The following is a 21828-nucleotide window of genomic DNA, read 5'->3' as shown; positions in this document are numbered from 1 at the left end:
AACTGTCTCTACAAAAAATTAGCCAAGTGTGAAGGCAGGCACCTATAGTCACAGCTATGTAGGACACTGAGGTGGGAGGATCACTTGAGCCCGGGAGGTTGAGGCTGCAGTGAGCCACTGCACTCCAGCCTGGGTGACAAAGCAAGACCATCTCAAAAAAATAAATGATCCAATTAATATAAGTTAGCTGGACACATTAAATGGTTACTGCATGGTTGGAAAAACAAGCTTTCCGATTGTCTCTTAGCTAAGTGTATTTTGTCTTCTGCATTTCTTGGGCCCACCTTGAGGTAGAAAAGGTAGCTGGGTGCAGTGGTTCACACTTGTAATCCCAATACTTTGGGAGGCTAAGATGGGAAGATTGCTTGGTCAACATAGCGAGACCCCAAAGACAAGGTTACCCAGACCCCAATCCAAAGCTCTAGGGCTGCAGGCATGGATAGTTCATTTGCACGTAAGCTGTATCAGGAGCACACAAAAGCGCCATTAGGTCAGTAATTCGGCTATTCCTTTTTTTATTTTGAGACAGTTTCACTCTGTCACCCAGGCTGGAGTGCAGTGGTGTGAACTTGGCTCACTGCAAGCTCCACCTCCTGGGTTCACGCCATTCTCCTGGCTCAGCCTCCCGAGTAGCTGGGACCACAGGCACCCGCCACCTCGTCAGGCTAATTTTCTGTATTTTTAGTAGAGGTGGGGTTTCGCCATGTTAGCCAAGATGGTCTTGATCTCCTGACCTCGTGATCTGCCCACCTCAGCCTCCCAAAGTCCTGGGATTGTAGCAGTGAGCCACCATGCCCGGCCCAATTCAGCTATTCTTTTACTTTCCCAGGCTTATTTCTCTCTCAAATGCCAATCAGGGTTACATGTTATCCAGAAAACCTATCATTCTCAACTAAACACATAATGTTCCTGCTAGTTGTAATGTAATTCCTACTCCTTAATTCACAAGTGGCAACCTCCCTTCCACAACACCAGTACTTCTACCACAAGGCAGAATTAATAGCCATCTGCGATCTAAGAGAGAATAGGAAGATAAATAATCCTTACACCCAAAAGGCCAAACAATTTTTATTTTCAAAAACAACTTTATTCATGACACATATTAAAAAAAAATTCCCACCCCTGGAAATGAGCTAAAAAAATAAACAAAATCCACCTCCCACCTCCCTGTTCCCACTTCCTCCCATTCCCTCCAAATAAAAGGGAAAAAAGGCAAAGGAAAAAAAAAAAAAACAAAAAAACAAAACAACTGAAAAACAAAAACACCCCTAAACCCCCCAAAACAAGGTAGTGCATTTCCCCAGGGGGAAGGGGAATTTACACTGGAGCCGCTGGGAGCGGAACGGAGATCTTCCGGCTACAGAAACCTGCAAAGAAAGACACTCAAAACAGAAAAAGAAACACAAAAGGAAACAAAATAGATCACCAGGCAATCTGGAGGGGCAGGGAGCCGGAGAAGAGGGGTGGGGTGGGTGGTAGACCTGGCTGGACAGGAGCAGGCAGGAGGGGACTGTGAAAGGCGAGGAGAAGACGGAGGGAAGGTAACAAGCAGAACAGTTTGGTGTCCTTCCAGAGCCCTGGGTAAAAAAAAAAACCTCCTACCACCCACGCCCACCTACCCTTGAGCAGCCCCCAAGGGGGTGAAGTGGGGCAGGGAAACATGGGCAGCAGCTTGCGCAGTTGAGACGTGTCCATGGCGAATCCCCAGAGTGAATAAGCAGCCCCCTGCCCCACTCCCTGGGCCTTCCCCTACTCCCCAAAGCAGGTCCCTCCTCAGCAGTTAGTTATGGGATTCTCCCCCCTTCCACAGTATATCTTTTTTTTAAAAAATATTTTTTTTCCATCAAGGTCATCTTCTGTTTTTCTTTTTTTTTTTTTTAATTCTTTTTTTTTTCCTTCTTTCCTCTTTTTTTCCTCTCTCTCCTCCTAATACACACTTTTTTTAGTAAGGGGAATACCATGATGTCGCTCTAGCCCGGCCCCTGGAAGAAAGAAGGAGAGTTAGGTGTTAACGTGATCACTAGATAGTTCAGTACAAGCCCCTCCCCGTAGGCCCCTGCCCCAGTTACTGTGAAGGGAAGGGGGGAAAAGAAGTGTTCAAGTGTCCTAAAACTGACCCCATGATCCCAGAAATAGTAACGCACCTGGAGAACTGGGGCAGGGGGAGGGGGGCTTAACAGAAAACTGCCAAACAGTGGCGAAAAAGAAGCGCATCTGAGTGAGAGACAGGGGCAAGGAAAAGGACCCCCTTTTTATCCAGTTTTCAGTCCTCCACAGCTCTTAAACCCTAGGCCATCACAAATAGATCCTCCCTAACTCCTGGGGATAGGCAGGTAGAGCTTATGAAAAGCCAAGGTTTATATGCCTAACCCGTCTATTTAAATGTAGAGACAGAAGTGAAGCAAGGCAAAAACCTGGGCACCACACTAGGCCCAGTGAGAAGTTAACCTTGCAAGACTGGCTCAAATAAAGAATAAGTATCTCAAAATCCTCCCACAAGGCTGTTGGGGAGGATCAACTAGCTAGCCTCTGGTATTCTTCCAAGGGAGGTTCAGTCTTCAATCCCTCCCTAACTCCGAAAAAAGTAACAAATGTCCAAGCAGTGCTTTCACTGCCTGGAGGCCCTGTTCCTCCCAGTTTTGTCCGCAAACACCTTCAAATGCCACCAACTCCCAAGAAAAAAAAGGCTGGGGGTGGAAGCCTCTTTGAACCAAGGGAGGGATGCAGCCCTTATCACCAATTTCTACTGCAGAAAAGATGATGAGGCTGGCCTTCTGGCCTGGCCTGCAACTACCTTCCTCAACCTGCACAGGCAGGAGACAAAGTTCCTGAAGACCACGGGGAGGGGTGGGGGGAGGGAGGTTCCTCAGACCAGAGAGGAGGAAGCATACGGGGCTCACGGGAGGCGGGGGAAAGAGGAGCAGCCCATCTATCCTGACCTGTAGACGCGACCCCGGGGCCTGCTGTTAAAACCACTGTAGAATCGAGAGCGGGAGCTGTTGTAGTTGGTGGTCCGGGCGCGGTAGCGGGCTCGTGGAAAACCCCGGTCTGTTGTGCTGATGCCTGGTCTGTTGGTTCGTTTTGGGATCACCTGAGTCAGAGATGAACAAATGATAGCCTTAAAGGCAACCTGGAGAGTTTATACACAACTAGAACAGCAATGGACATAGGCTTACCTTGATTTGCCTTCCTCTAAATAGGGACTCATCTAAGGCCAAGGAAGTCCTCACTGACTCTTTGTCTGAGAACTCTATATACGCAAACCTGAAAAGAATTGTCATTGTATCTCTCTGAGGTTACAAATACCTCACAGGTCAAATTCAACCTGCAGGCATGCTTCGTTTTGGGCTACAATGCAGTTATATTTTTTATTTGTCAAAATTCTTCTAAATGGAAAATTTCAATCATTCGAAATCATTTAAATTTTAAAATTTCCAGCTACTCTTTGAAATTTGTAAAAATAAGACACACAGGGCCTGAATTTCCATATGGCCATAATAGGCCAAGTAGAAGCTGCCCCTCCCCTTCTAGTTCGTAATCCCACCCACATCTAGCCTTCATTTTTGTTATCTGGCCTCTGAAGACATTTAGGTGCAACTCCTGATATATCAACATTAATGCCATGATCTTAAATGACACAGATCACCTGTGTTAACACCAAATAACTTACTGCTCAATATAAAACATAATTTATCTATTTGTACACTGTAATTTAAATTATCTCAACTTACTCCCCTTTACTTACCCTTTGGGATGGCCACTAAATTTGTCACACAGTATGGTAACACGGTTGACTGAACCACAGCCATGAAAGTGAGCTTCCAGCTCTTCTGCTGTTGCACCATAGTCCACCTGATGAGAGGAGAAAAATTTCACAGGCACCAGGCAAATTCCTGTCTCAAAAGGAACCCTCCCGAGCCTTTGGTCTGGGCCATCATACACCAAAGCACATGAAATCTGGTAATTTGAGGAATTAATCTCTTTTCCTTCCAAACCCAGAGCCTTTGCTGATTACTGATCATTCCATTACCTTTAACCTCCTTCCCACACTCCCTCCACACCCAAAACCACATCTATCCCGGAGATGTTCCTTTCAGGACTATTAAATAATTCCCCAAAAGAAGAACTTGCCCCCAACCCCAGTCAGAGCCCCAGTACGTACATTGCCAACATAGATGGAACGGGCATCAGCCTCCATCTTCTCCTCAATGGACATGATCACCGGGCCAGCTATCAGGAAAAAATAATTTTTTACAAAAACCACACACTTGTTTTCTACTTGACCAATATGTTGCACTTCCACCACCAGCACTATCCCATAAGCTCAGTGAAGGCAAAGATTTTGGTCTGTGCTGTTCCCTGCTGTACCCACAACCGAGAATAGTGCCTAGTGCATAGCAGGTACTCACTAAATATTCAATAAATTGAAAGAATTAATACACACTTAAAACAGTATAGGAATCCCTCCTGCCTCCAAATCAAATCCCTAATGAATGGCTTTGGTTGAAATGCTTTTAAGAGTGAGCAAAATTAAGTGGGCTGAGACTCCACATTTCTAGATTAAAGGGGAAACCCCTTGCAGCTTGCTTTCTCTTAGAATCCTAAAGCGTCTCCAATTGGAGGAAAAACTATTAGATTTGAAGGTCAAATGCGAGCACGCAACCTCTACAAAGAAAGATAGACGTAGACTAAGAACAAAGAGCAACACAATTATAACAGGCACAAAGGGAGGCACAAGGCTACCACCACCAAAATATACGTTCTGCCTCACAAAGGTCAGAGGAACACACAACGGACTATGACCGCGGCACAGTCATAATAGCTCAGACAAGCAGCTCCAGGGTGCCGAGTATCTAACCCCACATTCCCCATCCTCCCCACAACCCTTCCAACCCGAGAACCCGGGCTCCGCGTGCAACCGCCAGTTACTCACCATTGCCTGGAGGTGGACTCATATTCATCTGCTTCTCTACCTCGTTCTGTAGCTCCTTTAGCTTCTCAGCTTCTTCCTCCATCTCCCTGACTCGAGCTTTGATAGCTTCCAGCTCCTAATATAAGTGGGGAGGGTATGGAGGACAGCTTAAGAGGAACCAACGCAGGGGCTGTGCCCTGCTCTCGGCCAGAGCGCGGCCTCAGCCATGCTCGGCCATTTCCCTCGCCCCATGCGAGGGTCGTGATAAAAGAAAAGCTACCCTCTCTAGAACAACACTAGGCAACCGTGACGCCCGAATCAAGCCAGTCGGGCCCCTTGTAGTGATCGCTGACCCATCCCCGGCCCGACCCGGCCCCAGCCACGTTATTCCCCGCCCAACCCCACCCCCCGCCTGCCACCCGCTCGCCCGAGCTCTGGGCCTCCAGTGACCCGGCCGGCCAGCCGCCGGCCTGCTCGCTCGCCCTCCTTCCCTCACCGGGTCCTCAATGGCGCCGTCCCCCGGGTCACCCTCGACCAGTCCCGGCTCCTCCTCCTCCTCTTGGCTGCCGGGGGCTCCCGAACCAGGCCCAGGGCCCGGAGCTCCCGGGGGGGCGCGGGGCCGGGGCGGCTCCTCTTCGGGCTCGGGCTCCGGCTCGGGCTCCAGCAGCAGCTCCTCAGGCTCCAGTTCCTCAGACTCCAGGCCGTTCCCGTAGTCCCCTGCGCCCCCCGGGGCCCCCTCCCCGGCCTCCCCACCGGCCCCGGGCACAAGATGGCGCCGCCGCCCCGGCCCGGAGCCCCGACCGCCCGCAGCCCCCGCTGCTGCTGCCGCCGCCGCCGCCGCCGCCATCGCCGCTCAGACTGGGGCCCGCCGCCCGGCGATTGGAGAGCTGCGCCGGCCACGCCGAGGACTCATTAGTCAAGCTGCCTGCCCGTCACCATGAGCTAGTACTCCATTGGGGAATATTACTTGGCAATCAAATAAGGCCCCACCTCTAAGGCGGGGCACTGCGCCAAATTCTCAAATCCCGGTAGGGGAAATCTGCCTGTCAATCAACACGCGTCCCACCTCCTATCGAGTCCTTAGGTAATAATACCGCCACGCTGTGACGATATTCCTGCTTCTCCCCGGCCTACGGGCGGGCCCGCGAAGTATGGGACGCTCCGTGATTGGCCCTAGCTAGGCGACTGGAAAGGACCAATCTTCCGATCGCCTCACCGCAGTGGCCCAGTCTCAGATGCCGATTGGCTTGCGAGAGTCGAAGGGGTGACACTCGTTTCGTGACAGGTGAACCTTGCCCCCGAAAGGACTGCCGGGCTTCAAACTTGGGAAACCCGAGGTCACATGACTAGCCAGTCCTAGGGGGCCGCCATCTTGATACTACTGCTTGCCAGCTAGTGAGCTGTTGGCCGGGTGAGGCCCAAAACAGAGCAGCAGTTTCAGGAAACTTGTATCTCGACCAGGAAGCACCAGTAGATGGGATGTTGCTGAAAATGGAGGTTGTGAATGAAGCATTCCAGGAGGGAGCTTACTTTCCCCATCCAGGTTATTGGCACCATCATCCACTAGCTCTCCCGCACCAGAAAGCAGGGAGGATTCCTCAGTCCAGAGCTACTAGTCACAAGTCCTGTCTGTCCCGCCCTCTTGCGTAGGCCTTCTGCTCCCCAGTTCCATTTTCTTTTTCCTGGACAGCTTCCAATGTCACCCCTCCAATCTGCACCGCTAACAGACTGGCCCCCCTTTGCTGGCGAGGTAAAGTCTCAAAACCGTAAATCACGGCCTTCGATACGCCAGCATGTGGTTACTTTGTGGATGTTGTTTCCTTCCACTCTTCTCGTTCCTTTGGGTGTACCTGCACCCAGTCTGTGCCTCTAACATGTAGTCCCCCTTCAATCAAACCACTGCAAACCCCAGCTTCCCCTCATTTCCCAGGACAAGTGGGCCTATCTCCACGGCGCGCTTAATTGTTTTACTGTTTCCTAACTAGGTTGTGAGCGCCTGCAGATGAGGGGCCGGTTCCTATTTATATTCGCATCTCCACGGCCTGGCAATATGCCTACCACATAATGTCCTGTTAGATGTTTGTTGATTGAACAGGCATTGATTGGGGATTTGGGTGCCACCCTTCATTTAAGCCCTCAAGCCCCCAAGATCCCAGAGGAATTTCTCCTGGCAGGTTCCCACTACACCCCTGCACCCCAAGTACCAATGAGACCTAGCCCTGGAAGGCAGGACTGCCATATTTTGGTAGCAGTCCTACACATTTATTAAAAAGAAAGGAATGGCAGTGTACGTTTGCAAGAGAAATTTTTGTGGGCACACTAACCTACAGTTCGAAAGATACATATAGCCCAACCAAAAAGTTAAACAAACATGGTTGGCCGAGGGATTTGGACAAGAGAAGATCCTCATTAGCAAACCAAAAAATCAAGTGACTCATTATACCCCACTATTCCCCTCACCCCCACTTTTTCTCACAATTCCTTACCTCAAGATCTGGGGAACTTGCAGCAGAGTCACAGTCGCTTAAAATTTCACTGCAAATTACTTCATCAGCCATCTCAGCTTCAGTGATCTGGGATAACTAAAGTTGAGCACCGAAGACAAGCTCTAAATGATTGAATACCCTGGAAGAAAGGTCTTTTATACTAATCTTAACCTAATCAAGATTTGTTAATCTTATTGGTACCCAATTTAATCAAGCCAACAAAAGGAAATGTGATTTTTAAAAATGGCTTTGAATCCTATTTTTGTTGAGCGTTTGATTTTGTAATAAGCACCACTCCTTATTATTTCACTGGACTCTCACAACAACCCCACGGGGAAAGTATTTCCAAAACCATAACCTTTTTTAGGGAAAAAGAAAAAGGCTTAATGAAATGAAGAAACTTGCCTAAGTCATTGGACTAATTAGAAGTGTGCAGGGCTGGCTGGGCGTGGTGGCTCACACCTGTTATCCCAGCTCTTTGGGAGGCTGTGGCGGGAGGATCACCTGAGCCCAGGAGTTTCAGACCAGCCTGGCCAACATGGCGAAACCCCATCTCTACTAAAAATACAAAAATTAGCTGGGCATGGTGGTACATGCCTGTAAACCCAGCTGCTCGGGAGGCTGAGGCAGGAGAATCGCCTGGGCAACAGCAAGACTCTGTCTCAAAGGAAAAAATAAAAATTATATATATATTATACATAATATATATTATGTAATATATATAATAATGTGCAGGGAATTCAAAGCCAGCTTTCAAAGCTCAGATCACTACTACTATAAGGCCTGCTTTAATACATAAAAATTATGTGTGAAAAATGGCAAGACTAAATTCCAACAATAAACAAAAGTTTAAGCAAACTATAATTATATCCAAAAAAAATTATTATGCATCTCTTAAAAGGGTTACATAGTATGACAAACATGCGAAAATAATTTTGTTAAGCCAAAGAAGAATGTAAAATTGTACATAATATATAATTACAACTATATCTGATTTTTTTTAAAAACTTAGGCATGGGAGGAAAAAAGGAGCAAGAACCAGTACAATCTTTCTATTCTTTGGCAGTATATATCAAAAGCTTTTAAAATGGTGAGATTCTTAAGGCCAGGCGGAGTGGCTCACAACACTTTGGGAGCCAGATTGCTTGAGTCCAGGAGTTCAAAACCAGCCTGGGCAATATGGCAAAACCCATTCTCCACTAAAAATACAAAAATTAGCTGGGCAAAGTGGCGTGTGCCTGTAGTCCCTGCCCAGCTACTTGGGAGGCTGAGGCTACAGTGAACCATAATTGGTGCTACGTGCACTTCAGACTGGCAACAGAGTGAGACCCTGTCTCAAAAAAAAAAAAAAAAAAAGAGCCAGGTGAGGTGGCTCACGGCCTGTAATCCCAGCACTTTGGGAGGCCAAGGCAGGTGGATCACCTAAGGTCAGGAGTTCGAGACCAGCCTGGCCAAAATGGTGAAACCCTGTCTCTACTAAAAGTACAAAAATTAACTGGGTGTGGTGGTGGGCGCCTGTAATCCCAGCTAGTCAGGAGGCTGAGGCAGGAGAAAGGCTTGAACCTGGGAGGTGGAGGTTGCAGTGAGCCAAGATCGCGACACTATATTCCAGCCTGGGTGACAGAGGGAGACTCTCTCCAAAAAAAAAAAAAAAAAGTTGAGATTCTTAACCCAGTAATCCTATTTCTTATCTCTTCTAAAAATGTAATCCAATTTGTGAATAAATATTTTTTGTTTGTTTGTTTTTGTTTTGTTTTTTTTGAGACAGAGTCTCACTCCATAGCCCAACCAAGCTGGAGTGCAGTGGCGTAATCTCAGCTCACTGCAACCTCCACCTCCAGGGCTCAAGCGATTCTTGTGCCTCAGCCTCCTAAGTATCTGGTACTACAGGCGCACCACCACCAAGCCCAGCTAATTTTTTGTATTTTAGTAGAGATGGGGTTTTACCATATTGCCCACGGTGGTCTCGAACTCCTGAACTCAGGTGATCAGCCCGCCTCAGCCTCCCAAAGTGCTGGAATTACAGGCGTGAGCCACAATGCCCAGCCAGAATAAGTATTTTTATCAAAGTGAAAAAATACAGATAAAGGACCAAGTGGGCATTAAAATTACTGTACACAAGTAGAAGTAATTGTATATAGTCATTATGACTTTGAAACATTTTAACATCAAGAAAAAATGCTTGCAATATAATGGTAAGCAGAATTGCGTATACAAAATTGCATGATCATAAAAGCAGACAAACAAATACTAGAAAGAAGTATACCAAAATAGTAATTGTCTCTGGGTGACAGCATTATGATTCATTTTCTTTATAATTTTCTATGTTCTACAAATTTTCCACAATCATTATTTATTTATTTACTTGTTTATTTTGCTGCCTTTGTTGTTTGAGACAGGGTCGTTGTCGCCCAGGCTGGAATACAGTGGCATGATCACAGCCGACCACACCCTCAAACTCCTGGCTCAAGCAATCCTCCCTCCTCAGCTTCCGAAGTGGCTGGGACTACAGGTGTGCACCACTATGCCCAGCTAATTTTTTCTATTTTTGTGGAGACAAGGTCTCACTATGTTGCTTAGGCTTGTCTCAAACTCCTGGGGCTCAAGCCATCTGCCCAACTCAGCCTCCCAAAGTGTTGGGATTACAGGCATGAGACACCATGTCCAGCCCATTACATATTTATTTTTAAAAAATCACTCCAACTTTCAAACTTCTTCTACTAGGCATAATTACCTTATGAAAGAAACAAACACATTAGCTGAGTGTGGTGGCATAGTCCCAGCTAATCCAGACGCTGAGACAGAAGGATCACTTGAACCCAGGGGTTCCAGGCTGCAGTGAGCTATGATCATGCCACAATACTCCAGCCTCAGCAACAGAGTAGGACCCTGTCTCAAAAAAAGAAAAAAGCAAACATATTTAAAAGGCTATTTGAGGGACAGGTGCGATGACTCATGCCTGTAATCCCAGCACTTTGGGAGGCCGAGGAGGGTAAATCACCTGAGGTCAGGAGTTCGAGACCAGCCTGGCCAACATGGCGAAACCCCGTCTCTACTAAAAATACAAAAATTAGCTGGGCATGGTGGCGTGCGCCTGTAATCCCAGCTACTCAGCAGGCTGAGGCACGAGAATGACTTGAACCCGTGAGGCGGAGGTTGCAGTGAGCCGAGATCGTGCCACTGCACTCCAGTCTGGGCAGCAGAGTGAGACTGTCTCAAAAAAAAAAAAAAGCTTTTTGAATGGTGACTTGTAAGATCCTTCCCTATTAGTCTATAAACTGTAAAAGACAGGGAACCATCTTATATTTGTGTTCCCTTTGCCTATCACTCTGTGCTCAGTAAATGATAACTGAATGAGTCATCTTCAGTAATGAATAATCTTATTTTTTTAAAAAAGTAAAAAAATAAATGAATGAATACTCGTATTTATTATCCTGCCTGTTGTTGATGCATAGAGAATATCAAAGAGATAAGTTTTCCTCTGAGAATGAATTTTTTGAAATTTGGTATGTAATGGTGTGAGATTCACCCATTATAATTCTCTCTAAGTAATAACCTATAAACAAAGGACCATGGAGTTTTGGAAAAAGTGAAACTCCAATGATACTGTGCCCCAGAAGACGGGAAAATGTATTAATAAAAGGGAATCGGCCGGGCGCAGTGGCTCACGCCTGTAATTCCAGCACTTTGGGAGACCGAGGTGGGTGGATCACGAGGTCAGGAGATCAAGACCATCCTGGCCAACATGGTGAAACCCCGTCTCAACTAAAAATACAAAAATTAGCTGGGCGTGGTGACCTGCGCCTGTAGTCCCAGCTACTCGGGAGGCTGAGGCAGGAGAATCAATTGAACCCGGGATGCAGAGGTTGCAGTGAGCCGAGATCGCGCCACTGCACTCCAGCCTGGGCGATCTCAAAAAAAAAAAAAAAAAAGAAGAAGAAGAAGGGAATGGCTCAGTGGAGTTAAGAAAAGGAGAATTAAGTAGTAAAAATGGGTGAGGGCATTCATAGTTCTTCCCAGAAAAGTTTTCTCCCCAAACGACATAAATATTTGACGTCTTGGTAGTTTCATCCCTATTTTTATCTCCTTTCTTGAAATTTTTACAGACTACAATAATGCTCTATGATCTGGAACTACTTTGAAATTTTTACAGACTATAATAATGACCTATGATCTAGAGCTACACTTTAATATGATAGCCACTAGTCACACATGGCTACTGACCACTTGAAACATGAGTAGTCCAACTTGAGATGTGCTAAGTGTTGAATACACACTGAATTTTGAAGACTTAGTATGAAAAACAGAATGTGACATAATTCATTAATAACTGTTTAATATTAATTCCATGTTGAAATGATAATATTTTTATATACTGGGCTAAATAAAATATTAAAATTGGTTTAATAATTTCTTTTTGCATTTTAAATGAGGTTACTAGAAAATGTAAAACTACATGTGGCTTGCATTATATTTCTATTGGACAGTGCTGATGTAGAACCATGGAGTCTTTCTCCTTTACTGACCTCTGTCTTGGAGCAGACCTCAATAATCTTCTAATGTGGTCTGGTCCTGCTTACCTTGGCTCCCTAAGTTTGCCTTTGCATGGAAGTGGGGTAGCCATTTAAATGTGAAGGACCCTCTGTTGGGCTGCTTAATTTCCATCCTGCTTCGTTAACTTTTTAAAAATTTTGTACCTAAAGAACTTGTTTTCATATACTGTACTGGAAATATCTGGAAATATATGTTCATTGTCAAAGAATCAGAAAATACTGACAGCAAAAAGAACAAAATAAAAGCACTCATAAAGCCCACTATCCAGAGACAATCACTAATGATATTTTGGCATATATACTTCCTGAAAGTTTCAATATGCAAATATATATCAAGGCACACAGATATAAATATTTTAGCAAAATGGGATCATACTGTATATATTATTTTCTAATCTATTTTCTTTTTTTACCCAATTAAAAAAAAAAGACAAACATCTTCCCATGTCAATAAATATATTTTTCCAATTTTGTTTGTCATAGTTTTACCCAAAAGTCACCCTAGAAATGAGGCCTTCTCTGACCACTCAATTTAAAATTGAACTCTTACGTGTGTATATATACACACACATTCCCCTCAATGAATTATTTTTCTTTATGGTATTCATCGCCTTCTCACATATTACATAATTGTTAAGTTTTCTGTTTCTTTTACTATAATATAAGCAACATGAGAACAGAGATTTGCATCTGTCTGTTCACTCTACCTCAGAGCCTGTAACTGTGCTTAGCACACAGATGATGCTTGAATATTTGCTGCATAAATGACTGACTGAATAAACTACACAGCATTTCATTATGGTGTATTTTCTGCTGAGTTTCAAAATAGTCGATTTATTTCTGTATTTCTCCTGTATCTACATTTAAGGCAAATTTTATTTTATTTTATTTTATTTTTTATTTTTATTTTTTTTGAGACGGAGTCTCACTCTGTCGCCAGTCTGGAGTGCAGTGGCGCCATCTCGGCTCCCTGCAACCTCCGTCTCCCGGGTTCAATCGATTCTCCTGCCTCAGCCTCCCAAGTAGCTGGGACTACAGGGACTGCGCCACCACACCCAACTAATTTTTGTATTTTTAGTAGAGACGGGGTTTCACTGTGTTAGCCAGGACCGTCACGATCTCCTGACCTTGTGATCCTGACCTCGTGATCCGCCCGCCTCGGCCTCACAAAGTGCTGGGATTACAGGCGTGAGCCACCGCGCCCAGCCTTAAAGCAGCTTTTAAAGTCTTCAAAGGATTTGCTATTAAGTTACAACACAGAGGGCCGGGCGCGGTGGCTTACGCCTGTAATCCCAGCACATTGGGAGGCCGAGGCGGGCGGATCACGAGGTCAGGAGATGGTAACCATCCTGGCTAACACGGTGAAACCCCGTCTCTACTAAAAATACAAAAAATTAGCCGGGCGTGGTGGCGGGCGCCTGTAGTCCCAGCTACTCGGGAGGCTGAGGCAAGAGAATGGAGTGAACCCGGGAGGTGGAGGTTGCAGTGAACCGAGATCGCGCCACTGCACTCCAGCCTGGGCAACACAGCGAGATTCCATCTCAAAATAAATAAATAAATAAAAATTTAAAAAAGTAACAACACAGAATATCTACAATCTATCCATTTACTAATAATTGTAACTAAGTGTTGCCCAACTTTATTGAAGGTGTCATTTGTCCTAACACACTTAGGACCTTCTAATAGATTCAGAAGGTCCTAAGTGTGTTCTACTAGGTTCATCACAATTTAGCCCAAATATGCTGCTCTATGATGATTTGGTTTAATACAGGATTAAATTTTGGGCTATCTAAAGCGATAGATGGATTATATTTCCTTCATACAGTTCTCCACCAGTGTTATTTCTCGCTTAGGACCTTCTGAATCTCCATTTGGTGTTTTTAGAAGAAACAGTGGTCAAAACTCAACATCATATTTGCTTTTAGATGTCACAGAAGGTGGTGTCCACTATATCATTGTCTTCTTAGAAAAGCCACAAAATTTTTTTTGCCCCTCTTGAGTAACTGATAGGCTTTTATAAATCCTAAGAGGAATGTGAATTTCATTCTGTATTTTAATTTGCTTTAGCCACCAAGAAGCTCACAGCTGAATTCACAGCCTAGCTTTAGTATTTGGAAATGCTACTTATAGAATGTTTTTCTGTGCATTAATTTTCCTTTTGCCGCCATCTTATTTCAATTTTCCCTTTACCCCTACTTATTTTTTTTACTTAACCTTGACTTGAAATTCAACCCAACTTAAAAAATTTATGTTTTCCTATTATTTTGTGTATTATAGTAAGATATTGCAAATATTTTTTGGAACTAGGCAAATGCAAATCAATCATTAAATCAATCACACAACAGTGGAGATAAATACACCAGCTATCATACTTGATGATATTAACTATTAAGAACATCTAATTTCCTTTCCCATAGTGCCATATTCACTAAGCCACTCTCTGATTTTAATATGGTTTCCCCTGTAGACTTTTGTATAAAGAATAGAAAGAGAATGCTGGATTCCTCTAAACAATTATATTTCTTGCAATTTAACACATAAACCCAAGTACCAGTCTATTGCACTGGATTACAGAAAGGCTAGAAATTCCCACCTGAAATTTAAAATTAGGATCACTGTTTCAGTTAACATGATTTTGATGTGGTCCAAGATTAGAGGTAGAGAAGGATGAGCTGAATATTCTTAGAAATTCCATCCAGTTTATCAATTTGCATTAAAATGGCTGAAACCAAATGTCTCACAGGACCAGCAAAGGAAGCAGGGACTCCCATTTTTGCCAGACTCCGCCTTGCCTTATTTTTTGTTTGTTTGTTGTTTGAGATAGAGTCTCCCTCTGTCACCCAGGCTGGAGTACAGTGGCTCGATCTTGGCTCACTGCAAACTCCACCTTCTAGGTTCAAGTGATCCTCATGCCTCAGCCTCCTGAGTAGCTGGGATTACAGGCACGCACCACCATGCCCGGCTAATTTTTGTATTTTTAGTAGAGACAGGGTTTCCCCATATTGGCCAGGCTGGTCTCGAACTCCTGACCTCAAGTGATCTGCCCGCCTCGGCCTCCCAAAGTGCTGGGATTAGAGGTGTGAGCCACCGCACCTGGCCCAGACCTATTTTTAAGTCTGAGGTAGGCAGGAAGGCACCATGGAGAAATGTTCATTATTATCACACACTTCTGATTAGAGCCTGAACCACAACTGGGGGCTTGATTACTATCACACAAAGATTTTTGGTAGGTTTTCTTTGTTTCTCATTTGGTTATTGTTAGTGGCAGTCCCAGAGTACCATATACACACACCCTCCCAAGGCTCAGGTTGAAATAGAAGGAATTCTTGGCTTTGACCATTTGGCTGGTATAGGAGTGGGGTGAGGATGGGGGAAAGACTCTTTTTTTCTTAATGATCCCAACACTTTCTCAAATCCCTGTTATTCTAATTCTTGCCTTTAACAAGGTCATGAAGAGATGATTGGATCAAGGAAATGTCCTGACCCCAGGCTATACAGTGTAGAAGTCACAAACCCTGTTCAGTCCTTCTCATTAAACTTCTGGGCTTTATTTATTGTTTTTAATACGATCATTACATATTACACAAAAATAAAAGTCAAATGAACTTGGTATTTATAAATTATTAAATAAAAATACAGGAATATAGATTTATATTTATAGAGCTTTCTTTTCTTCTAAACTAACCAAATCTGTTCTGCCGTTTTATGATTTTAAAAAAGTAAAATAGTGTTTGTGTGCCCTAGAATAAGTGGGGAGTGGGATTAATAATCGCAGGACCGAGTTGCCCTACTTCCGCTCCTTCCTTGGCCTAAACAAAGTCCCTATTTGTCCCTTTGGGCTCTGGAGAGCAAGAAACCCCTCTCCTCCTACTTAATCTTTGAAAAATGGCAATTACATTTATTTCCCTTATTTTTTAAAAAATGAAATGGATTTAAAAATTGGGAACCATACTCAGCCTTCTTGGCCAAGAGCTAATCCCAAGGAACTATATGGCTCTAGAAGAGAGTCCCTAGTTTTCCCTGACAGAAGAGTCTCTGGGGTTTCCCTTCAAGCTAAGAAGGGCAGGACAGGTCAAAATTGCCCACTGTGGTCCCATCTAAGCTATGCTTCTGGGAATCCAGACCAAGCCCTTTACCCTTTCAGAAAACAGCCTCTCTTTCCACCCAGGTGTCAAGGCTTCAGAGCAGGGCATTTTGGTAACCTGGCCATGGTCCCTGCAGCTCCTCTTGGCTAAAGGTCCCGGGGAATGCTAACAGGGATATGTGTCCTGTGGTAGAGGGTAGGGTGAAGAGTGTGCTCCATACCTGGGGAAGGAAGCACAGACTCCAATTTGGAGCCGATGGTCTAGTCAGTGGTTTTCCAACTTTTTTTCAGCAGCAAACCCCTTAATGCAAATAAAATCTTACCCTGAACCCCAATATGTAAGACAGCTACAAGGGGAGCTGTTCTGTTTGAGGGCAAATTGCCCAGCCTGCTCAGCTCCCCACCCCCTTCATCTCCCCAAGGACTCCTGAGGCAACCCCTAGGAAACTTCAGGGCTCTGCCAAGCAGTTTGAAAACCACTGGCCTAGTTTGTCCTGAGCAAGTCAGAGACCCCCCACCCCAACTGCTTGCCACAAGCTGGCTCTGAGTTTCTGGTGTCAGCATACTCACAACAAGACCAAGTGGCACATGCAGCCTACCACCTCCCCTAGAAATACCATGAAAAAGTGCAGCCCTCTCTCAAAAGCAGAAGTCTGGACTCAACACCTGAGGCCAATTTGGTCCCACGTTCTGGCGAGCACAACTACGTTGCCACATTCTAGGACCAAGTGAAAATCTCCAAGAAGAGTCAACCATGGTCTAGCTAAGGTGATCAGTGCTCAGGACCACAGGCAGGGTTCTAGAGCACTGTGTCAGAAAGTTAGCATTGGAGAGCAGCAATCTTAGCACCTTGGAAAGTGCAGCAGTGAGGTCTGGCTCAGGGCATGCATCTGGAGTGAATAATTTCTTCCTCAAAAGAAAAAGCCATAATCTGAAGCTGTTCTAGAGGACTGCGAGTTCCAAAGTTAACATCCTCAGACTCTGAGGTACAGACAAGTAACACCCATGCAAACAGTGTGGCTTCAAATAAATCATAAATGCTTCTAGGTCATGGTAGGTACTCTAGAACCCATATGCCTGGCCCCTGATAAAGCCGAACCAAAGCCCACAACACAGCATAGGCCAGTCCTGGAGTACCCATCACCCTCACACCCATGGGATTCAGATCTGAAATGGTCATCTCAAGGCATCAACAGTCTCACTGAGACACAGTGTGGGACCCAGACTGTATTCTAGATCAGCACTTATGCCCACAACCTCAAAAGGAAAATTAGTTAGGGCCCCAATTTAGAGTTTCAGTTTGGGTACAGAGGTCCCAGAGATTGGAAACACTTTAGGCACCATTGTGCCTGAGTGGGAGAGGAGGGTGGCAGGCAGGTCCGGCTACCTAAGCCTCCACCCATCCAGGCTCAACAGCCCTGCCCTTCTATCAGAGCCCAGGAGGCAGCAGCAAGTGCATAATGCACAAGGAAGGGGGATGATGAAGGAACAAGGCCAGCTGCAGAACTGCTCTTCTCTCCAAAGCCTTGCCAATCACTTTCTGGAAAGAAGCAGCAGAGCCCTCGGTCTGGATACAATGTTTCTCTCTAAGCCTTGAGGCATCAGGACAAGGGCAGGGGAAAGGAGGGGTTGGGAGGAGGGACAGAGAACTGCCCCTAGTTCTTGCCATTGCAAGAGGGAATGTTTTCTCCTTGAGGAATCCCATCACCACCAGATTTGCCAGGCAGCCCAGCATGCACACCAGCATGCGTGCACATGCACACGCGTGTCCAAGCAGCCCACTGTTAACAGCCACCTCTCCCTATCACCTGAGAACCCCTAAGCTTCCATTCCAAAGGGATGTGCCTTCTGCGTTCCCTAAATCCCACTCATCTAATGGAATACAGCTGCTTATGTAAGTCCACCTTCCTCAGGGCTGTGAAGCAAGTTCCAGGTCGTTTCATGTGCCCACACCTATAGGCGTGATCCCTCCCACCTCCCCCAGCCCTGGAACGACTACATCTCCTGTGCCCCTAAACTTGCCAAAACATTCCCCTCCCCTCTGTGTCCTGCTCACTCTTCCAATCGCCTACCTGGCCTACTCAGCTCCCTCACACACTACCCTTTCTCTGCCCATCCTGTTCCATGCCCACCCATCCACCAACTCCACTTCTTCCAAGGGCATTTCTCTGTTCTGTTCCTGCTCTCCTGGCCCCCAGCCACACCTAGCCCCACCTGGCCCTGGACTTTCACTTGCTAGCAAAAAAGGCCCCTACAGTTACCAGGGCCCCCAGTGCCACGGCCCCCGTCAGCACTGTCCTCACTGATGCCCAGTTCCCCTCCCGCAGACGCCGCGCCTCCTCCAGGGCCCCGTCCCCGTATAGAGCTGTGAACTCCGCCTGTGGGAGAGAAGGGAAGCAGGAGAGAAAGAAGGAGAAAGGGATATCAGGAGAGGAAAGAGTGGAGAGAAGAGGAGAGGAAGAGTTCCAGTTCCATCCACTGCGAGCACTACCCCATACCCAGCTCCTCTCTGGCCAAAGCTCTTCTCCCTGCAAGCCCCTCTGATCCCCCCAGGTGCACCCCCACCCTGAGAGACTGGTTCATCTGCCCACTCTGCCTCCAGTGAATTCCATCCTTTCCTTGGCGAAAAATTCTGCTCAGAACTAGCATCCTTTGCCAAGGCTTGCCTGACCACCACCCATCCCTGGTCCTCCCCACCTCCCACGCCATGACTCAGATGTAAAAAGTCCCTGACAACATTCCCCTGCAGGCACTCCTTGGGTGTGTATTCTGTCCTCTGCTTGGGACCATGAGCCCATCCAGTGTTGACTGCATGGCAGCCCTGGAGTGCAGAGTCCAGGCATCTCTCAATCTAATTCCATCCAGACGGGGAGACTCAGCCCCGTACCTCATTCCCAACATAGCTGCCTCAGCCTCCAATCAGAGCCCCCATCTTCCCCCTGGAGACCAGCTTTGCAGAAGGATGTGCAGAGCGGCAATTGAGAAGCTTCTTACCCAGCCCCCACTGCTGTGGATCCAGTCAGCCAGCTGCGTCTCCAGGTAGGCCACCATCCACTCCTGCACTTGTCCCACCAGTGGTTCCATCTCCTTGTTGACACTCTCAGCACACAGTGCAGCCCCAAAGACAAAGAAGGCTACAAGGCGGCCCCAGTTGGGGCCCCCTTGAAAAAGTTCATCGGAGACCTGGGTGAAGCGTTGTTGGGCTGAGCCTGGGGTCACATGCAGCTGAGCCGCCAGATCAGAGAAGGTGCGCCGGAAGCGGGTCTCGAACTCATCTCCAGCTGCCCGCATGGCTTGGTGCAGCGGGTCAGCTGCTGGGCCCTCCCCGGGGCCAGCTCCACAGACATAACCCTTCTGCCTCAGCTTATAACCTACAAAGTCTGCCACCAGAGCCCGTGTGTCTGGGGCCGAGGCTGGGGTCGCCATCCGGGCGGCTATAAGAGGCAAGGATGAAAGACTGGCATGAATATATGAAGAGAGAATCAGAAGGAGCACTTCTGGTTTGACCAACCCAGTGAGATGAGGAGGAGAGAGGAAATGCTCAGGACTCACTGGACAGGGAGAGGCAAGAACAAGGGAATTAAGTCATGATATGAGACTAGGCTGTGAGTGGCTGGCCATTACATTCCTAATATGCCAAATTAAATGTAAAACAAGTAAATTTTCTGTTTAGGATACTTTAGATTCTTTTCACAATAAGACAACGTCAGCTCAATGACACCCCTACAACACCCCCACCCCCGGGTCTCCTTAGTCCACACCTTCTTGGCTAGAGGAAGGGTCTTAGGACCTCCCCAAATGCAAGATGTAAAGATGTTGGCAGAGACACAAGATGAGGGGGAGCAGATGGGCTGAAGAGAAAGGTGGGAGACGCAATGGGTTACTCCAGACAGAGAAAGGAAGGAGACACTCACCCAGCCGGGATGGCAGCTCTTAAGACACAGCACTGGTGGCAAGGAGCCCCCAGCTGGGGCCTTTCATCCTCCTGGCCAGCGTGGAGCCCTGGAAAGGGGAGGGGGAGATCAGAACCAGGAGGGGAAGGCCAGGGATCAGGTTCTGGCCTGGGAAGGGCTAGGGTTGCAGCTCTGGGCCTAGGCCCCTGCCCCCAACGCTCTACCAGCTGTGTGGCCGAATCCATGTTTAATGACTGTCCTCCCGGGAAACCCAAGGCCAAGGGCTTCCTGCCGACACCATCTCTATTCCCGGTTCCCCCTAGTGCAGCCCAAAGGCCCAGCTCCTCCCTTACCCCCACCTCAGCCAGTCTCCAACCCCGCCCGCCTGCCAGGTTAGGGATCTCACGGGTCAGGCCGCTGCCGGGATCCGGGCCGTTTCCTGGTGCAGGAGCTGGGAGGGAGGGAGAGAGGGAGGAAGGGAGGGAAGGAAGGAGGGAGGAGAAAGGGGGGGGCAGAGGGAGGGCCCGGCGCCGGGTGATGATGGGGCCCAGAGATGCGTCCAGAGAGAGGGGCGGGGCTGGGACGCAGGCCTGCAAAGGGCCACTACTCAGGAAGAGGGAGGGCTGCTGAAGGCAAAGAAGGGCTGGCTGAGAGGGCACGGTGGGCTGGGCTGGGCTGGGCTCCTGAGCCTCTAGGCTGCCCAGAGAAATATGCCGGACTTCGGGACATCTCGGGGCAAATTTAGCATTTTCAGGAGGTTTCCGATGTTCCATGCACTTGTTGAACTTTTCCAGCCCTGAACTGTGTGCCTGGAAAACAGGAGCAGTTCCCATTAAGCTGGGAACCGTCTACCAGGTGCCTTACCCTTATGGGGCTAGCAGACACCACATAGACACCAAACCTTTCCCATCTTTTCTCCAGGACCTTTAACCCAGTGTTCTCTTTGTGGGCTGGGCTTCAGCCAGGCATTAGGGAGCCAGGACTTGGATCACAAGCAGTTTCTCTCGGTACTTTTCTTTAATTCATCTTCTTTTGTAATTAGATTGATTTTAGTGGGGTTTTTTTCTTTTTCTTTTTTTTACCCAACACACAAACTCATTCTCATTATGAAAAAAATCAAACAATAAAGACGTGCGGAGTAATAAAATACAGGTTCTCAAACACACACACACATACACACCCAATTCCACTTCCCTCCCTGCAGGTTGCCAGTGTTAAGCTTGATGTTTATCCTTCCAGATTACATATATATGGGGCCATTATTTATACATGGCAGTATATTTATACAGGGCAGGTCACAGGCGTGAAGCAGTCTGACCATAGCTGATCCACATGAGGGCACTCACAGCCAGCCCCCTGGGCTCTTGGATCTGGCACTTTTTTAAAGAGTGCCCCAACCAAAGGCCAGAAAGAGGCAACCTAATTCTCCTATTCTGCTAGCTCCCTTTGCTTCTACCTCCAATCCAAGCCTCTGTATTACCATCTTCCCTTATGGTCACTGGAGAAGCAAGGTCTTTTCTGCAGCAATAACAGTAACAACTAGCTGGGTTCGGTGGCTCATACCTGTAATCCCAACACTTTGGGAGGCCAAGGCGGGTGGATCACTTGAGGCCAGGAGTTCGAGACCAGCCTGACCAACATGGCAAAACCCCATCTCTACTAAAAATACAAAAATTAGCCAGACGTAAAATACAAAAATTAGCCAGCCTGTAATCCCAGCTGCTCAGGAGGCTGAGGCATGAGAATCACTTGAACCCAGGAGGCTGAGATCATGCCACTGCACTCCAGACTGGGTGATAGAACGAGACTCTATCTCAAAAAAAAAAAAAGGTAAAAACTAACATATTTTGAGGAGTTATTAGATGCTGTGCTTTTTTTACATGTGTATTTTTTCCTCTCA

General features: G+C 46.9%; 3 protein-coding genes across 13 annotated transcripts, besides 7 other annotated features; all 3 read right to left on the bottom strand.

The window, feature by feature from the left end:
• PABPN1 (poly(A) binding protein nuclear 1) lies at positions 1066 to 5772 on the bottom strand. Of its 3 annotated transcripts, NM_004643.4 has the most exons (7): positions 5409 to 5772; positions 4934 to 5048; positions 4163 to 4230; positions 3746 to 3852; positions 3177 to 3264; positions 2940 to 3091; positions 1066 to 1982 (listed from the first exon to the last, which is right to left on the bottom strand). In NM_004643.4, exons 1-7 carry the CDS (start codon positions 5757 to 5759, stop codon positions 1943 to 1945), a joined length of 921 nt encoding a protein of 306 aa, NP_004634.1. In that variant the 5' UTR covers positions 5760 to 5772; the 3' UTR covers positions 1066 to 1942. The 3 variants fall into 3 exon arrangements, with proteins under 3 accessions (NP_004634.1, NP_001347480.1, NP_001347481.1); NM_001360551.3 differs by having other exon boundaries at positions 1066 to 3091; NM_001360552.2 differs by lacking the exon at positions 5409 to 5772 and having other exon boundaries at positions 4934 to 5223.
• Positions 1066 to 20396, bottom strand: BCL2L2-PABPN1 (BCL2L2-PABPN1 readthrough). Of its 8 annotated transcripts, none has more exons than NM_001387342.1 (10): positions 20282 to 20396; positions 19950 to 20037; positions 19030 to 19469; positions 7399 to 7494; positions 4934 to 5048; positions 4163 to 4230; positions 3746 to 3852; positions 3177 to 3264; positions 2940 to 3091; positions 1066 to 1982 (listed from the first exon to the last, which is right to left on the bottom strand). In NM_001387342.1, the coding sequence occupies exons 3-10, from the start codon at positions 19459 to 19461 to the stop codon at positions 1943 to 1945; spliced, it is 1098 nt and encodes a 365-aa protein (NP_001374271.1). In that variant the 5' UTR covers positions 19462 to 19469; positions 19950 to 20037; positions 20282 to 20396; the 3' UTR covers positions 1066 to 1942. The 8 variants fall into 8 exon arrangements, with proteins under 8 accessions (NP_001374271.1, NP_001374269.1, NP_001374270.1 ...); NM_001387340.1 differs by lacking the exon at positions 7399 to 7494 and adding an exon at positions 18297 to 18413 and having other exon boundaries at positions 20335 to 20396; NM_001387341.1 differs by having other exon boundaries at positions 20335 to 20396.
• Positions 4398 to 5207: an enhancer, noted in NCBI's record as "NANOG-H3K27ac-H3K4me1 hESC enhancer chr14:23791231-23792040 (GRCh37/hg19 assembly coordinates)". NCBI's record gives its function as "activates a minimal SCP1, AML or CMV promoter by ChIP-STARR-seq in primed H9 embryonic stem cells {active_cell/tissue: H9 hESC(primed)}" and the evidence as "EXISTENCE:reporter gene assay evidence [ECO:0000049][PMID:30033119]".
• Positions 5208 to 6019: an enhancer, noted in NCBI's record as "NANOG-H3K27ac-H3K4me1 hESC enhancer chr14:23790419-23791230 (GRCh37/hg19 assembly coordinates)". NCBI's record gives its function as "activates a minimal SCP1, AML or CMV promoter by ChIP-STARR-seq in primed H9 embryonic stem cells {active_cell/tissue: H9 hESC(primed)}" and the evidence as "EXISTENCE:reporter gene assay evidence [ECO:0000049][PMID:30033119]".
• Positions 5313 to 5382: a silencer, noted in NCBI's record as "silent region_5607". NCBI's record gives its function as "represses an Ori minimal core promoter by ATAC-STARR-seq in GM12878 lymphoblastoid cells {active_cell/tissue: GM12878}" and the evidence as "EXISTENCE:reporter gene assay evidence [ECO:0000049][PMID:35858748]".
• Positions 5443 to 5872: a silencer, noted in NCBI's record as "silent region_5606". NCBI's record gives its function as "represses an Ori minimal core promoter by ATAC-STARR-seq in GM12878 lymphoblastoid cells {active_cell/tissue: GM12878}" and the evidence as "EXISTENCE:reporter gene assay evidence [ECO:0000049][PMID:35858748]".
• Positions 6031 to 6681: an enhancer, noted in NCBI's record as "H3K27ac-H3K4me1 hESC enhancer chr14:23789757-23790407 (GRCh37/hg19 assembly coordinates)". NCBI's record gives its function as "activates a minimal SCP1, AML or CMV promoter by ChIP-STARR-seq in primed H9 embryonic stem cells {active_cell/tissue: H9 hESC(primed)}" and the evidence as "EXISTENCE:reporter gene assay evidence [ECO:0000049][PMID:30033119]".
• Positions 6273 to 6342: an enhancer, noted in NCBI's record as "active region_8170". NCBI's record gives its function as "activates an Ori minimal core promoter by ATAC-STARR-seq in GM12878 lymphoblastoid cells {active_cell/tissue: GM12878}" and the evidence as "EXISTENCE:reporter gene assay evidence [ECO:0000049][PMID:35858748]".
• BCL2L2 (BCL2 like 2) lies at positions 15478 to 20396 on the bottom strand. Of its 2 annotated transcripts, none has more exons than NM_001199839.2 (4): positions 20282 to 20396; positions 19950 to 20037; positions 19030 to 19469; positions 15478 to 18413 (listed from the first exon to the last, which is right to left on the bottom strand). In NM_001199839.2, the coding sequence occupies exons 3-4, from the start codon at positions 19459 to 19461 to the stop codon at positions 18264 to 18266; spliced, it is 582 nt and encodes a 193-aa protein (NP_001186768.2). In that variant the 5' UTR covers positions 19462 to 19469; positions 19950 to 20037; positions 20282 to 20396; the 3' UTR covers positions 15478 to 18263. The 2 variants fall into 2 exon arrangements, with proteins under 2 accessions (NP_001186768.2, NP_004041.2); NM_004050.5 differs by having other exon boundaries at positions 20335 to 20396.
• Positions 18704 to 19537: an enhancer, noted in NCBI's record as "H3K4me1 hESC enhancer chr14:23776901-23777734 (GRCh37/hg19 assembly coordinates)". NCBI's record gives its function as "activates a minimal SCP1, AML or CMV promoter by ChIP-STARR-seq in naive H9 embryonic stem cells {active_cell/tissue: H9 hESC(naive)}" and the evidence as "EXISTENCE:reporter gene assay evidence [ECO:0000049][PMID:30033119]".
• Positions 20397 to 21828: the final 1432 nt, after the last annotated feature.

This window comes from Homo sapiens, chromosome 14 (assembly GCF_000001405.40).
Source record: "Homo sapiens chromosome 14, GRCh38.p14 Primary Assembly".
Taxonomy (NCBI): Eukaryota; Metazoa; Chordata; class Mammalia; order Primates; family Hominidae; genus Homo; species Homo sapiens.
Note: the sequence above shows the minus strand (reverse complement) of the source record. Positions and strands in the feature narration are given on the sequence as shown.